The 15,831-nt window shown below is 37.3% G+C and overlaps 1 protein-coding gene across 11 annotated transcripts in view; it reads left to right on the forward strand.

Annotated features, from left to right (window-relative positions):
• POU2F1 (POU class 2 homeobox 1) overlaps nt 1-15,831 on the forward strand; it is a 206,461-nt gene that overhangs the window by 82,352 nt on the left and 108,278 nt on the right. For 3 of the 11 annotated variants that reach the window (XM_011509655.2, XM_011509653.2, XM_017001508.3), the window contains exon 2: nt 238-246. The exons of 6 other annotated variants lie outside the window; for them this stretch is intronic. In XM_011509655.2, the coding sequence (XP_011507957.1) occupies nt 238-246 (9 nt within the window). Of the gene's footprint in view, nt 1-237; nt 339-15,796; nt 15,821-15,831 lie in introns of those variants that run through there. 2 more of the 11 variants (NR_037163.2, XM_011509654.4) reach the window with 2 other exon arrangements.

A 15,831-nucleotide genomic window follows, 5' to 3' on the forward strand; every position in this document is an offset into this window, starting at 1 on the left:
TATTCAAAGAACTTTCTGATTTATCTCCATGGTCCTTTAGTAAGGGCAGGTACTAGTTATTTCTGTTTTGTAGGTGAGGAAATAGGTACAAGAGGTGCCTGCCTAAGGCAGCTAATCTAAATGTGTCCTGATGGATAGTCTGGTGTCCCCCACTGTGTGTAATTGTTCTCTCTTTAAGTGTTAGGTTATTTTATACAGCTTACTCAGTTTTGCCTTTTTCTCTTTTTGTGTTCATAGACTGGAAAAGTAAGAAGAGCTTTCCTGCCTTTTTAATTACCAAACTACTCTCAGTTTTCAATGAATCAGTTCAAAGAAAGAATGCAGTCTTTCTATACCTGGTAAATATTTTCTGCTAAATAAAGCTATTAATTTAGTAGCATCTGATAAATCCAGGTGTTATGATGATTACCTTTAATTTTGTGGAATGACTATTAAAATGACTTATCAAATATATATTTTTCTATTTTTAACTCTGAAATTTGTTTGATATTTATTGATATGATGGAGTGATGCTTGGGATGCCTGCGACCCAGCCAGCAATGGAAAATAGTTTAGGATTGGCCCTAGTTCTTAGATTAGACTCTGGTCTCTTTTGAAAAGGTTGTGAAATCAGTGGAAATAGGGTATATAAATATATTTTTATATCATCTTTATTCTGTGATGATATATCATTAGCATTAATCCCTGTATGATAGTTTAATAGAAGCACTTTGTAAATAATGGTTTTATAAAATTAATGTAGTAATGAGAATATTACATTTTACCATTTTACAAATTACCTACATGAAGATTAAAGAAGTAACTTGCGAAAGAAATTCAGCTAGCTAGTGTAGAACAGAGATCCGACTCCAGTTCAGAATCTACATCTGACTCCTAGTCTAGTGCCTTTTTTATATTTTTATTTTTAAGTACTTTAAATATAAATGTACGTGTCTAAGAGAATAAACAAACCATAGTGATGTTTCACATGGATTTTTCTTTTGATATAGCTTATAATGTTACAGTGTTACTGTTAACAGTATTAACCATTAATTAACTGGTATGTGCCTTTGAAACTTTTGTATGTATTATTTTATTTAAGCCTACGAAGAACTCTTGAGAGTATTACTGTCCATTTTACAGATGAAAAAACTGAGGCTCAGAAAGGCAGTCATATAGCTCAATATGCTAGAACTGGAGTTTAAACCTAGTTCTGTGTTCTTTCAAAGCACGTTACTAAACTGTTTAGCCTGCTTATTTTTTTAAACGAAAATTTATGTGATCACAAATTCAACCCATCTCATGTTAACTAACACTGATTATGGAATCATTTCCTCTCCTAATTCACCTATCCAAAAATCTCAGCATTTTAGAGAGAGGTGAGGTAGTGTTGAGAAACCATATATTCCTCCGTAATGATTTTAACTAAGGGAATCATACTATTTTTATAATGTAATTCAAAGATATGAATCTTATCCCCCTTTAAAAATGTTTATGAAATATTTGTATATCGTAAACTATGTTGAAGTTCAAGTAAACTAATTTGGGCAAGTCCAAAGGGATATTTTCTGTGACTGAACATTTATCTCATGTTTTCACTTTTTATAGTTGATAAGCAATAATTTATTTTCATAAGACATTTTAAAAACGCTTTTCAAAATTAGCTGACACCTTTAATGAAAAAAAATGATGTTATAGAAAGAGTATTATTCAGAAATTAATATAACATTTCACATCTGACTGGCCTGGGGGTAAATAAGGCTTATTATCATGAATGAAACTGTAATGATGAAAAGTGTAGAGAAAATCTCTTCTTAGTAAAATAGCCAGAATGTCTGAGTTTGCCAAAACCAGGAGAATCTTTGCTTTAAAACCTGTCTCATTCCCTGAAGTTCACCTTTCCTCAGGAATCTCATTAAATTACTACCACCACCTGGCTGGCCAAAAGAGGGTGGGGACACAGAGAATGTAGGCAATTTTTTTTTTTTTTTAAACAGGATCTCTCTCTGTTGCCCAGGCTGGAGTGCAGTGGCGAGATCTCCACTCACTGCAGCCTCCACCTCCCAGACTCACGTGATCATCCCACCTCGGCCTCCTTAGTAGCTGGTATTACAGGCATACACCACCACACCCAGCTAATTTTTGTTTTTTTGTTTGTTTGTTTTGTAGAGATGGGTTTTTGCCACGTTGCCCAGGCTGGTCTTGAACTCCTGAGCTCAGGCAATCTGCCCGCCTTGGCCTCCCAAATTGCGGGGATTACAGGCATGAGCCACTGCACCCAGCTGAATGTGATATTTAAAATACCTCTTTTAATAGCTCATATCATGTAACCGTTTATTCCTGGTACGGTGTGGAGATCTTATAGCGAATAATTTTTAGTTACATGAATTTTAGCCTATGCTATTCTAAATGAGAAGGTACATTTGATTGCCTAATGCCTTTCTATTTTGGGCAGTCATATTTAGGACTTTATACAAGGTGAGAAGCATTAACAGATAGTACTTTGATTTTACTTTTTAGTAAAACTCTTTCACCTAAAGCTTATAAAGATAATGTGAAATTTATTGAGATAATCTGTCATTATGGAAAGATTACAAAGTTGATTACCCTAAGTACACTTCTACCACTCATCCTCTGAGTAGAAGGGCAGGAGGGTGGGGCAGGGCTGGAACAACTAACATTTCCTGGAATTCCTACTCTGCTGGGCATATGGTAGACATGTTCACATGTATTCTTTTATTTTTAGTATACATAGAAATGTAGAAGTATAGGAAGTAGGGCAAAGAGAAGAAAAGCGTTGTGCATGGAATTATTCCTTCCTTTTTGTTTGTTTGAACGGTCAACTTGTTAACCCTCCACATTCTTTCTTCATCTGCTTTTGGCAGCAGCAAATACAGTTGATTGTTTCCAGTCTCTGAATCATAACTACCTGGGACTGCTGTATAGTGTTCACCTGGCCAGAGGTGCTTCTTTTTTAAGTTTTCAGAAGACAACATTTGTACTTCTTAAAAAATGTTATTTGAGGATTAAAACATGAAGACAAAAGAAGAAAAAGAAAACCACTAGTACTTTAGACATGTTCAGATAGTCCTAACACTATTAAGACTCTATTCCTGTGTACAATAAAGATGATTTTCTGGCCTGTGGATTAAAAAGCATGGAAATACTCAAGAGCATCGCTTAAAATTTTTTCTTGTACTAGGAGAAAATGTTTGACAGTTGTATTTATTAAATATTTATCAAGATATAATACCTTTATTTTTATAATTCCTGATTACTTTCAAAATAACATATTAATTTTAAGGATAACCTTGGGAGACAGCATAATTCTCATTTTTCAAATGAGAAAATTAAGGTTCAGATGTTAGATTAGTTTTTTAGTAATGCCGTAACACGGTACTACAAACAACAGAAATTTATTGTCTCTCAGTTCTGGAGGCTAGAAGTCCAGAATAAGGTATTAGTAGGTTTGGTTCTTTCTGAGGGCTGTGAAGCAGAATCTGTTCCATCCCTCTCTTCTTGTCTTCATCTGTTCTATGTCTGTCTTTGTTCAAATTTCCCCTTTATATAAGGATAGCAATCATATTGGATTAGGCCCAGTCCTAATGACCAGATCTTAACATTTGCAAAGGCCCTATTTCTCACTAAGGTCGTATTTACAGGTATAAAGGGTGTAGACTTTAACATCTTTTTGGGGAAGACACAGTTCAATCCGTAACAGATGTTAAGTCCTTTCCTCTCCTAAATAGTGTCTCGTAAGTAGGAAAGTTTGACATAGCACATTGTAGTGCCACTAAAATGGTAGTTTTAAAAGAACATGACAATATATTTATAATACCACATTTAAAATTCATTTTCTAATACTGGCTTATGTCTGGGGAGATTTTATTTTAAATTAACTAAGTTTCTAAAATATTAATAGAATTTTGGGTTGTAATGGTTTCAAACTTTTTCTTCAAATAATAAGTAAGTGATGACACCAACTGTGTAAAGTTATTCAAAACCCAGTGCTTAGATCTGGCTTTATGTCTGAACTTCCATTAATAAAATGTAGACTTGTAAAATGTGGACTCCTCTATAAGATCTTGAAATGTCCATCAGAATACTGTTTAAATTGTTGCAAGAGCAATCTGACAGTGGAATATCTGTACATTTCATATTTATGTAAAAATTGTGGTTTTACCAGTGTTAATACACATCTTGTGACTAGGGATTTCTGAGTGTTGGAGAGGTCAAAGCCATACTAGGATAACCAAAAAAAAAAAAAAAACTGTATAGTGGTTTGTTCATCTGTTTCCTTTTTCTTTCTTTGCTGTTTTTTTAAATTTCAAAATAATTTGAGAGTTACAGAAAAAATGAAAGAATAGTGCAAACAACTCATCCTGGAACCTTTTGAGAGTAAGTTACTGACTTGATGCTCTGTCACCCCCAACTACTTTACTGTCCCTACAAATAAGGACATTCTTCTTCATAGCCACAATACAAACATAAAACTCAGAAAATTAACATTGACAGGTTACTATCGACTAATCCGTAGACCCTATTCAAATTTTGCCACTTGTCCCCAAAATGTCCCTTACACCAAAATAATCCAATCCAAGACTGCACATTGGATTTAGTTGTCATATCTCTTTACTGTTGTTCAATCTGGAATAGTTCCATAAGTCTTTTTGATTTCTAGGGTCATGGCACTTTGGAAGAATACATTTTGTGGAATGTTTTTGAATTTGGGTTTACCTCATGGTTCCGCATGATTAGATTCAAGTCATGCCATGCATCTTTGACAGGAGTGTCATAGAGTGATGCTGTATTCTTATTGCATCCTTTCAGGTGGTGCAAAATTTTTATTTGTTTCTTTTTTTTTTTTTTTAGACGGAGCCTTGCTCTGTCACCCAGGCTGGAGTGCAGTGATGCAATCTCGGCTCACTGCAGCCTCTGCCGCCCGGGTTCAAGCAATTCTCCTGTCTCAGCCTTCCGAGTAGCTGGAACTACAGGTGCACACCACCACGCCTGGCTAATTTTTCTATTTTTAATAGAGACGGGGTTTCATGATATTGGCAATTCTGGTCTCGAACTCCCAATCGCAGGTGATCCGCCTGCCTCGGCCTCCCAAAGTGCTGGGATTACAGGCCTGAGCCACCACGCCCAGCCTGTTTCTTGACTGATTACGTTACCTTTGATCGCTTAAGGTGATGTTTGTCAGTCTTGTCTTCTGTAAAGTTGTGCTTCTCTTTGTAATTAATAATTATTTTATGGGGAAACTGTAAATTTTCATCACCAAGTTTTCATTTACTAGATTTAATAGTGGTCCTCTCTCCCTCCCTTCCTCCTTCCCTGGTCTCACTCTGTCCCCAAGCTGGAGTACAGTGGCATAATCATAGCTCACTGAAGCTTCAAACTCCTAGGCTTAAGAGATCCTCCCACCTCAGCTTCCTGAGCAGCTGGCACTATAGGTGCATGCCACAACACCTGGCTGACTTTTTTGTAGAGACAGGATCTCACTATGTTGTTCAGGCTGATCTCAAACTCCTGAACTCAAGTGATCCATCTGCCTAGGCCTCCTAAAGTGCTGGGATTACAGGCATGAGCCACCGTGCCTGGCCTTTTGTTATTTCTTGACTGAACTTATTACTGTGATGGTTTTCAAATATTGATTTCCCAATTATATTATTCTACATTATTTGGAATCCTACTATAAGGGAAAGCTTTCTCTTCTCTATATTTATATCTGTATGGACTCATGAATTCCTTTAAGCAATAGTTATAATTCATTCATTTTTTTTTCCTTATCCAGATTGTCTAAAATTTGGCTAATGGGAATGCCTTCAAACTGGTCTTGTATCTTTTTCACATATTCCCATAATTTTTTAAAGTGCTTCCACTAGTGGTTTTTTTTTTTTTTCTTTGAGAATCCCTGTTTTATTAATAGTAGAAAGTAGCATTTAGAAGTCAAGATGTGGGTGCCAAGTATGGTTATTGCTGTAGGGGTACTATTGCCCCCAGGCACTCCATGGACAGAACTAGAGAATAGAATATATGTATATGTGTGTGTATTTCACTTAAAGCTGTGTTTATTTTTGCATTTATATATTTTGAAAACCATTGACTTTATACCAAAACTTCTAATTCCAATTTAGTATTAGAGAGTTGATTCTAGTTTTTTTCTCTGTTTAAGGTTTTAGTTCCTTTCCCCAACAGTGGTACACTTCACTCTCATTATCCTTAAAATAATTACTTACTACAGTTTCTCTCTCCATATAACCAGTCTCCTCATTGCTTCTCCCCACTCACTTTCCTAAGCTTGGATGCCTGCCTTACTCAGCCCCATCTAATGACTTTTGGACTGAATTATGAAAAAAAGTTCATTTTTTAATGACAAATATTAAAGTAAATTGGACAAATTTGCTTCTACTACACCACCTTTGGTTAATTTGCTTCCTCTATTCTTATTTATTTTTAATTTGGAACCCTATTAGTTCCATGTTGATGGAAATTCTTTGAGATTTTTAAAATTAAGCTTAATTAGGCATTTTATATTATCTTAATCCTACTCTTAGGAGCTGTTACATTTAAGGTGTTAAAGATAATTAGCTGGCTAACTAGAGATGCTCTGAACATTGATTATTTTTAATTTCAACGCATATAATCAGTTTAAAATGAATTGCTTTCGTTATATGAAAACATTCCATCATTTATGAAGAACAATAAGGACTTTTTACTGTTTTTAAGTCAATTCTGGTCTCATTTACCTCAGCTCTAAATTCTTTTCATAGAACATTATTTATGAACAAATAATGCCAGAAAATAAGATGAATTCCAAAAAAATCAAGGAGTTACTATATGTGCGAAGATGATTTATGTGCAGATTTTTTCTTATTAGAATGGTCTAGGGATATTGATTAACTTTGGAAGTTGTTAGCAAAATATAAATAGCAAATATAAAAAGAATATTTAACTCCTGGACTGTTAGAGAGGGGAAGAAAGGGGAATAAAGAAATTGCATTTAATATTAAAAACCAGGAAAGGGGGGAAGGGAGATCCACAACAAAGAACAACTAAAGTAAATAAAAACTGTAAAATGACATGATGGGAAAAGGCCAAATATATCAGTAATCACAAAGGAAGTAGTAAATGGGTTAAACAAACCTCTACTCAGATTGGATTTTTAAAAAATGAAATGAAAATCCTATCTATTTCTTTTCATAAGTGACATACCTAAAACCAAATGACACAGAAAAGATAATTAATGAATCTATGGAGCTATGCCAGTCAAATAGTATAAAAACAAAAGAGCTGTTATAACAGTAAATTCTGAGGCCAAAAAAAGGAGGGAGGTAGATAAAGGAGAATAATTTTAAAGTGATAAAGGAACAGTTTACCAAGCAGAAATGTCCATGTACGTAAAAATGTTTAATATAAAATGCCTAATAATCAATAGACATAATTACCACGATGACAGAGATGTTAGGATTATCTGACAAGGATTTTAAAGCAGCTGTCATAAAAATGCTTCAGTGAGTAATTATGGACACACTTGAAACAAATGAAAAAAATGTGGAGTCTGAGCAAAGAAATAGGCCTCAGTAGATAGAAAATACAAAGAAAAACTAAATAGAAATTTTAGAACAGACAGCTACAATATCTGGATTAAAACTCACTGTGTAGGCTTACAACAGAATGGAGGAGACAGAGTGAACTGGAAGGTGGAACAATAGAAATTACCCAATCTGAACAAGAAAGAGAAAAGAGAACAAATAATCAGTGGACCCTCAGGGACCTTTAGGACTACAACAAAAATTCATCTGAATGCTGGGAAGAGAGGAGAAAGAGGGTAGGGCTGAAAAGTACTTTCAGAACACTGACTGAAAACTCCCCAAATTTAGTAGAAGGCATATACCTATATAGATTTAAGAAACTGAGCAAATTTCAAACAGAAAAATTTCACAAAACAAAAAAATCTCCAAGATACATTATAATAAAACTTTATATAAACTGGAGACAAAGGAAAAATCTTGAAAACAGAGAGAAATGACACCTTACCTATGGGAAAAACAATTCCAGGGATAGTGGATTTCTTAGCAGAAACCATGCAAGCCAGGAGGCCAAGGCATATTTTTCAGGTAGAGAGAGAGCTCAGACTCCCCCAAATCTGTATCTAGCAAAAAATATCCTTCAGGAATGAAGGGAAAATCAAGACATTGTTAGGTGAAGGAAAAGAAAGAAAATTTACCTCCAGCAGACCTACCCTAAAAGAATGACTAAAAACAAAAGAGAAATGTAATCATGTTCCATATAACAATGTTTCAGTCAATGATGGACAGTGTATATAACCGAGATCCCATAGGTTATAATGGAACTGAAAAATTCCTATTGCTTGGTGATGTCTTGATGATTCTGGCCCTGTGTAGGCCTAGTCTAATTTGAGTCTTAGTTTTTAACAAAAAAAAATTTCAAATAGAAAAAGCTCATAGAAAGGATGTAAAGAAAGAAAATATTTTTTGTGCAGCTATACAATGTCTTTGTATTTTAAGCTACTATGGGTTATTACAAAAAATCATTTATTTATTTATTTATTTATTTATTTATTTATTTATTTTTTCTTTTGGAGACAGAGTCTTGCTCTGTCGCCTAGGCTGGAGTGCATTGGTGCAATCTTGGCTCACTGCAGCCTCCACCTCCTTGGTTCAAGCAATTCCCCTGCACACCAAGCGTGGCTAATTTTTTTTTTTGTTTGTGTGTCTTTTTTGGAGATGGAGTCTTACTCTGTTTCCCAGGCTGGCGCACTCTCGGCTCACTGCAACCTCTGCCTCCTGGGTTCAAGCAATTCTCCTGCCTCAGCCTCCTGAGTAACTGGAATTACAGGCATGCGCCACCACGCTCGGCTAATTTTTGTAATTTTTTAAATAGAGATGGGGTTTCACCATTTTGGTCAGGCTGGTCTTGAACTCCTCACCTTATGATCCACCCCCCTTGGCCTCCCAAAGTGCTGGGATTACAGGCGTGAGCCACCGTGCCCAGCCAATTTTTTTTTTTTTGTGAGACAGAGTCTTGCTCTGTCGCCTAGGCTGGAGTACAGTGGCACGATCTCAGCTCACCGCAACCTCCACCTCCCGGTCTCCTGCCTCAGCATCCCAAGTAGTGGAATTACAAGCATGTGCCACCACGCCCAGCTAATTTTTGTATTTTTAGTAGAAATGAGGTTTCATCTCGTTTGTTGTTGGCCAGGCGGGTCTCGAACTCCTGACTTCAAGTGATCTGCCTGCCTCAGCTTCCCAAAGTGCTTGGATTACAGGCATGAGCCACCACACCTGGCTAAAAGTCAAATTTTTTTTTTAATGAAAAGTTTATAAATTAAATAAGTTACAGTGAGCTAAGGTTAACTTATTATTCAAGAAAGAAAAATATATTTTTATAAATTGAGTGTAGCCTAAGTGTACAGGCTTTCTCTAGTTGACACTAGTGTACAGTAATGTCTTAGGCCTTCATTCACATTCACTCACAACTCCTTCACTGGCTCACCCATAGCAATTTTAGTCCTGCAAGTCCCATTCATGGTAAGTGCCCTATACAGGTATACTATTTTTAATCTTTTATACTGTATTTTTACGGTATCTTTTCTATGTTTATGTATGTTTAGATATTCAAATACCGTTTTAGAAATACTTGTTAGAAATGCAAATACCATTGTGTTACAGTTGCCTACAGTATTCACACTAACATGCTGTATAGATTTGTAGCCTAGGAGCAATAGGCTATGCCATATAGCCTAGGTGTATAGTAGCCTGTACCATCTAGTTTTTTGTAAGTATGTTCACACAGTGATGAAACCACCAAATGACACATTTCTTAGAATATAGCCCCATTGTTAAACAAAGTATGACTATATACTTGGTTGTAAATCCAACAAAACATGTACAGGAAGTGCGTGCTGAGAACCACAAAATGCTGATGAGAGAAATCAAGGAAGATACAGAGTAAGGGAGAGATATATACTATATTCAGGGATTAGAAGATAACATAGGAAACATCAGTTCTCCCCAAATTGATATACAGGTTTAATGCAATTTCTATCAAAATTCTCACAGACTTTTTTTCTAGACATGAACAAGAATAGTCCAAAATTAATAGGAAATGCAAAGGAATTGAAATAGCTGAAAAAATTTTGAAGAAAAATAAAATAAGAAGAGTCAGTTACCCCAATTTCAAGACTTATTATATAGCCACAGGAATCAAGCCTGAGAGTATTGGTGGAGGGATAAACACAGATCAGTGGAACGGAATATTGAACCCAGAAATTGACCCAGAGATGTATAGCCAACTTATTTGTGACTAAGGTACAAAAACAATTCAATGGAGTAAGGACAGTGTTTTTGACAAATGACTGAAGAAAAAAACAAAACAGAAACTCAACCTAAACCTCACATAAAAAAACAAAACAGAAGAACATCTTCAGGATGCAGGATTTGATGAACAGTTTTTAAACGTGACACCAAACATACAATCCATAAAAAATTGATGAATTGGCTTATCAAAATTAAAATATTTTGCTATGTGCAAACCTCTGTTAAGAGGATGAAAAGACATGGTCCACAGTGGGAGAAAATATTTGCAAAGAACATATCTAATAAAGGACTCCTGTCTACAATGTATAAAGAACTTTCAAAATTCAACCCTAAGGAAACGATTCATTAGAAAATGAAATTTTTGGATTTTTTTAGAACACCTGTAATCCCAGAACTTTGGGAGGCTGAGGCAGGTGGATCACAAGGTCAGGAGTTCAAGACCAGCCTGGCCAAGATGGTGAAACCTCGTCTCTACTGAAAATACAAAAATATTAGCTGGGCATGGTGGCATGCACCTGTAATCCCAGCTACTTGGGAGACTGAGGCAGAGAATTGCTTGAGCCCAGGAGGCAGAGGTTGCAGTGAGCTGAGATTGCGCCACTGCACTCCAGCCTGGGCAACAGAGCAAGACTCTGTCTCAGAAAAAAAAAAAAAACAAAACTTCAAAAGAAAGAAATAGACATGTCACTGAAGAGGCTGTATGGATGGCAAATAAGCACATAAAAGGGTGTTCAGTATTACTAGCCACTAGGGAAATGCAAATTAAGATCACCATGAGCTATCACTGCACACCTACTAGAACAGCTAAAATAAAAAATAGTGACAATACCAAATGCTAGTAGATTTGGAGAAGCAGATCTCTCACATTGTTTGTGGGAATGTAAAGTGTTACAGGTATTCTGAAAAATATCTGACAATTTCTTAAAAAATGAAACAGTTCAGGCATGGTGGTTGTCGCCTGTAATCCCAATACTTAGGAAGGCTGAGGTGGGAGGATGGCTTGAGCCCAGGAGATCCATACCATCCTGGGCCACACAGGGACACCCTGTCTCTACAAAAATAAAAATAAGCCGGGCATTGTGGTGTGCACCTGTGGTCCCAGCTCCCTAGGAGGCTGAGGTGGGAGGATTGCTTGAGCTCAGGAGGTTGAGGCTGTAGTGAGCTGTGATCACACCACTGAACTCCAGCCTGGGTGACAAAAGTGAGACCTTATCTCCAAAAAACAACAGCGAAATCCCTAAACCTAATACACATAGAGTTTGGATATTTGTCCCCACCCAGATCTCATGTCAAATTGTAATCCCCAGTGTCGGAGGTGGGGCCTGGTGGAAAGTGTTTAGATTATGAGGGTGGATCCCTCATAGCTTGGTGCGGTCTTCTTGATAGTGAGTTCTCATGGGATCTGGTTATTTTAAAGTGTATGGCAACCCCACTCCCCAGTCTCTGTCTCTCTTGCTCCTGCTTTTGCCATATGGCATGCCTGCTCCTGCCTTCACTTTCTACCATGATTGTAAGCCTCCTGAGATCTCCCCAAAAGCAGATGCTGCTATGTTGCCTATACAGCCTGCGGAACCTGAGCCAATTAAACCTCTTTTCTTATGCATTACCCAGCCTCAGGCATTTCTTTATAGCAATGTAAGAATGGCCTAATACATACATATGCCCTATGAGCTGGCAGTCTCACTTCTGTGCATTTATCCCAGAGAAATAAAAAATTATGTTCACATAAAAATATGTATACAGATGTGCTTTACATATTATATATGAGTCCTGTATCAGAAATGTGCTTTGCCAATATTTTTCCCCAGTGTTGACTTGTCATCCTCTTTACCTCCTATGTACGAATGTTTACAGCAGGTTTATTTTAATAACCTAAAACTTAGAAACAGCCAAAAAGTCCCTCAATAAGTAAATGCCTAACAAACAGTGGGACATTGCTGAGCATGGTGGCTCATGCCTGTAATCCCGGCTACTTGGGAGACAGAAGTGGAATGATGGCGCTTGACCAGGAGTTCAAGACCAGCTTGAGCAACATAGTGAGGACTTGTCTCTAAAAAAAATTGTTTTTTGTTTGTTTGTTTGTTTGTTTGTTTTTTAATTAGCCAGGTGTGGTGACATGCTGGTAGTCCCAGCTACTTGGGAGGCTGAGGCGAGATGATCGATTGAGCCCAGGAGTTCAAGGCTGCAGTGAGCTATGATTATACTACAGCACTCCAGTCTGGGCAACAGAGAGATACCCCATCTCTTTAAAAAAAAAAAAAACCCTGAAATTAAAAAACAAGCAAACTGTGGTACATCCATACCATGGAATACTTAATATTCAACGAGAAAAAGGAATAACTATTGATACACACCAAAGCTTTGTTGGATCTCAAAGGCATACATAATGCCAAGTAAAAAATGCCAATCTCAAATGGTCACGTTACTGTATGTTTCCATTTATATAACATTACCAAAATAACCAGTTATGAAGGTGGATAGCAGATTAGTGGTTGTTAGGGATTAGAAATAGCCAGAGGGATAGGAGTTGGTGTGACTGTCATGGGGTAGCAGGACGGAATTCTTTGTGATGAAATAGTTCTGTATCTTGATTGCAATGATAGTTACATGAACCTGCACATGTGACATTAAAATGACATAGAAGCATACTTTATATCAAGAGCAATTGTTTGGATTTAATATAATGGTGTAGTTACATAAGACGTAACCAGTGGAGAAATTAATGAATGGTACATGGGACCCATCTTTGAAGATTCCTTTGCATTTCTAGTAATTTCAAAATAAAAAGTCAAAAACAAAAGAGAGGGATATCATAGTTGCTATAGGATTTCAGAAGAAGAAATAGTTCCTTGATAACTAGGAGAATGAGGGAAGACCTGAGGCCATAGCTTTTGAATAGTTTTTATAGGATAGGTAGACTTTTCACGAAACAATACAGGGAAAAGAAGGGTATTTTAGACAGATCGAGGTTAATGTTTATGGAATGACTGCCACTGTATTATTATTAAGAAATGTTAGTAACATCTGATTAGTCTGAAGAATAATTAACTTAATGAGGAGGAATGTATCTTTAGATTTTATATCTGATATAGAACTCTGAGATATTTGTTACCCTTGTGGTGTCACACAGATTCTGGAAGCCTGAGTGTAACAGATAAAGAGAGAAAACATAAATTACCAGTATCAGAAATGAAATGGAACAGTTCAAAAAATGGATGGGAATAATCAAAGCTGCCTGGGTTTTAAACAAAACAAGGCTTATTTTTTCATGGATTTAAGAAATTGAATCAGAGAAGAACTCACATTTTATTTGTTGAAATAGGATAACTCTAATATTATTTTTATTTTTTTGAGATGGAGTCTCACTCTGTCACCCAGGCTGGAGTGCAGTGGTGCAGTCTAGGCTCACTGCAACTTCTGCCTCCTGGGTTCAAGCAATTCTCGTGCCTCAGCCTCCTCAGTAGCTGGGACTATAGGCGTGCACCACCACACCTGACTAAATTCTTGTATTTTTAGTAGAGATGGGGTTTCACCATGTTGGCCAGGCTGGTCTTGAACTACTGACCTCAGGTGATCCTCCTGCCTTTGCCTCTCAAAGTGCTGGGATTAGAGGCATGAGCCACCGTGCCTGGCTAGAACTCTAATACTAGACAACAATGTCAAGACAAATTACTATATGGTCCTGTGTTAAAACTCTGTAGTGACCTATTCTTTTTCTCCCTGGAATGTTCACAGTTTGTCATTACACCTTTTGGTGATTGCTTAATATTTCTATTATTCAGTTACAAGCCTTCTGAAACTTGTCCTTGTCGAGACCAGCTCAGTCGTGGAGACCCTAACCCAGTGGCGCTAGAGGAATTAAAGACACACACACACAAATATAGAGTGCAGAGTGGGAATCAGGGGGCTGACAGCCTTCAGAGCTGAGAGCCACGAACAGAGCTTTACCCACATATTTATTGACAGCAAGCCAGTAATAAGCCTTGTTTCTATAGATTATAGATTAACTAAAACAGGAAACAAAGAGATGGACTCTGGCTAGTTATCTGCAGCAGGAACATGTCCTTAAGGCACAGATTGCTCATGCTATTATTTGTGGTTCGGGAATGCCTTAAGCAGTTTTCCATCCTGGGTGGGCCAGGTGTTCCTTGCCCTCCTTCCGGTAAACCAACAACCTTCAGCATTGGCATCATAGCCATCACAAGCATGTCACAGTGCTGCAGAGATTTTGTTGATGGCCATTTTGGGAGCCTGTCTATGGCCAGATTTGGGGGCCTCTTCCCAACATGTCTCCCCTTTTTGTTTTTGCAAGATGATAAAAGCAAAGGTGGCTTTATCACAGTGAGCTACTTCTCGCAGGAGTCGGGATCTGCATCTGCAGACTATACACAGACAACACAGATTAAAAGCACGATCATCATTGAAATCACAGAGTCTCCAAGAGTTTTTATCCATTTTAATGGGTTAATAGCTGCTAATCATTTGCAGCTCCTTCAAGCACTCCAGTTCCTGGCATTAAGGTCACGTGTGCCTGGGATGCTTTAAGTATTTGTTCTTTTAATTTTGCAATATCCAAAGACAAGTTTGTAGAGTGTCCTTCTAGATGCTTTTTTATTCTTTCCCAAATTTTGATCTTATTAAGAGCCATTAATAGTTTCCACAAATCCTTATGTTTAGCTCCTACAGTGGGCCATATCATTTGAGGTTGAGGTGCCACTAGACCGCCATGTTTTCAGATAATAGGAACTCTTGCCATACTTCTTACCATTTCTACCATTTGACCGTTTTGTTTAGAGGAGCTGAACATAGTGTGGCCATGGCACGCAGACTGAGAGGTGCAGTTCAAGCTAAACATCCCCTTAGGGGACCAATCAATAATGATGCCATAGGAATCATTGCTCAGCACCTCTGCCTGTTCTGCAATGCAATCTTCCCAAACAAGTATGTTCATTTTTTCTGACCAGGTCCAATCCTGTTTACAAATTTGTTTTTGAGGGCCGTATGCCTCAATTATAAGAGCAGATTTATTATGGTAAATACTGAGACCAGAAAGCATGTGTAACTGTGTCATAAAGTGATTATGTCCAGGCATTATTTGCCAGCCAAGATTGATAGCGAGGGGGTAGGCAACTAGTGGCCTTTCTCAAACAGATAGGCGGACATTCAAATCCTAAACAAATATTCATAACAGTTCTTTTCTCATGTGAGTGAGATGGGCCTCTAACATCTGTAGCACTGAGCATCCAAGAGCTATCATTAGTGTATACCTCCACTGGGGGGGTCCAGCCAAGTTACAGGCCATAGAAGTGGTAGAAAAGGTAAATATGCCCAATAAGTATAATTGTTCTCTGTGTCAGCCTTTGCTAAGGGAATACTCACGGTATTGGTGATCACCGCTATCATAGCTATCATTAGATTGATTACTCATTGTGACTGGTTGTCCTGCTTTCCTCAGGTTTTCTTCCATCATCTGTGACAGCTTCTTGATCTGTCCCCAGGTAGGTGGCTG

The sequence above is a fragment of the Homo sapiens genome, chromosome 1 (genome assembly GCF_000001405.40).
Source record: "Homo sapiens chromosome 1, GRCh38.p14 Primary Assembly".
NCBI classification, from domain to species: domain Eukaryota; kingdom Metazoa; phylum Chordata; class Mammalia; order Primates; family Hominidae; genus Homo; species Homo sapiens.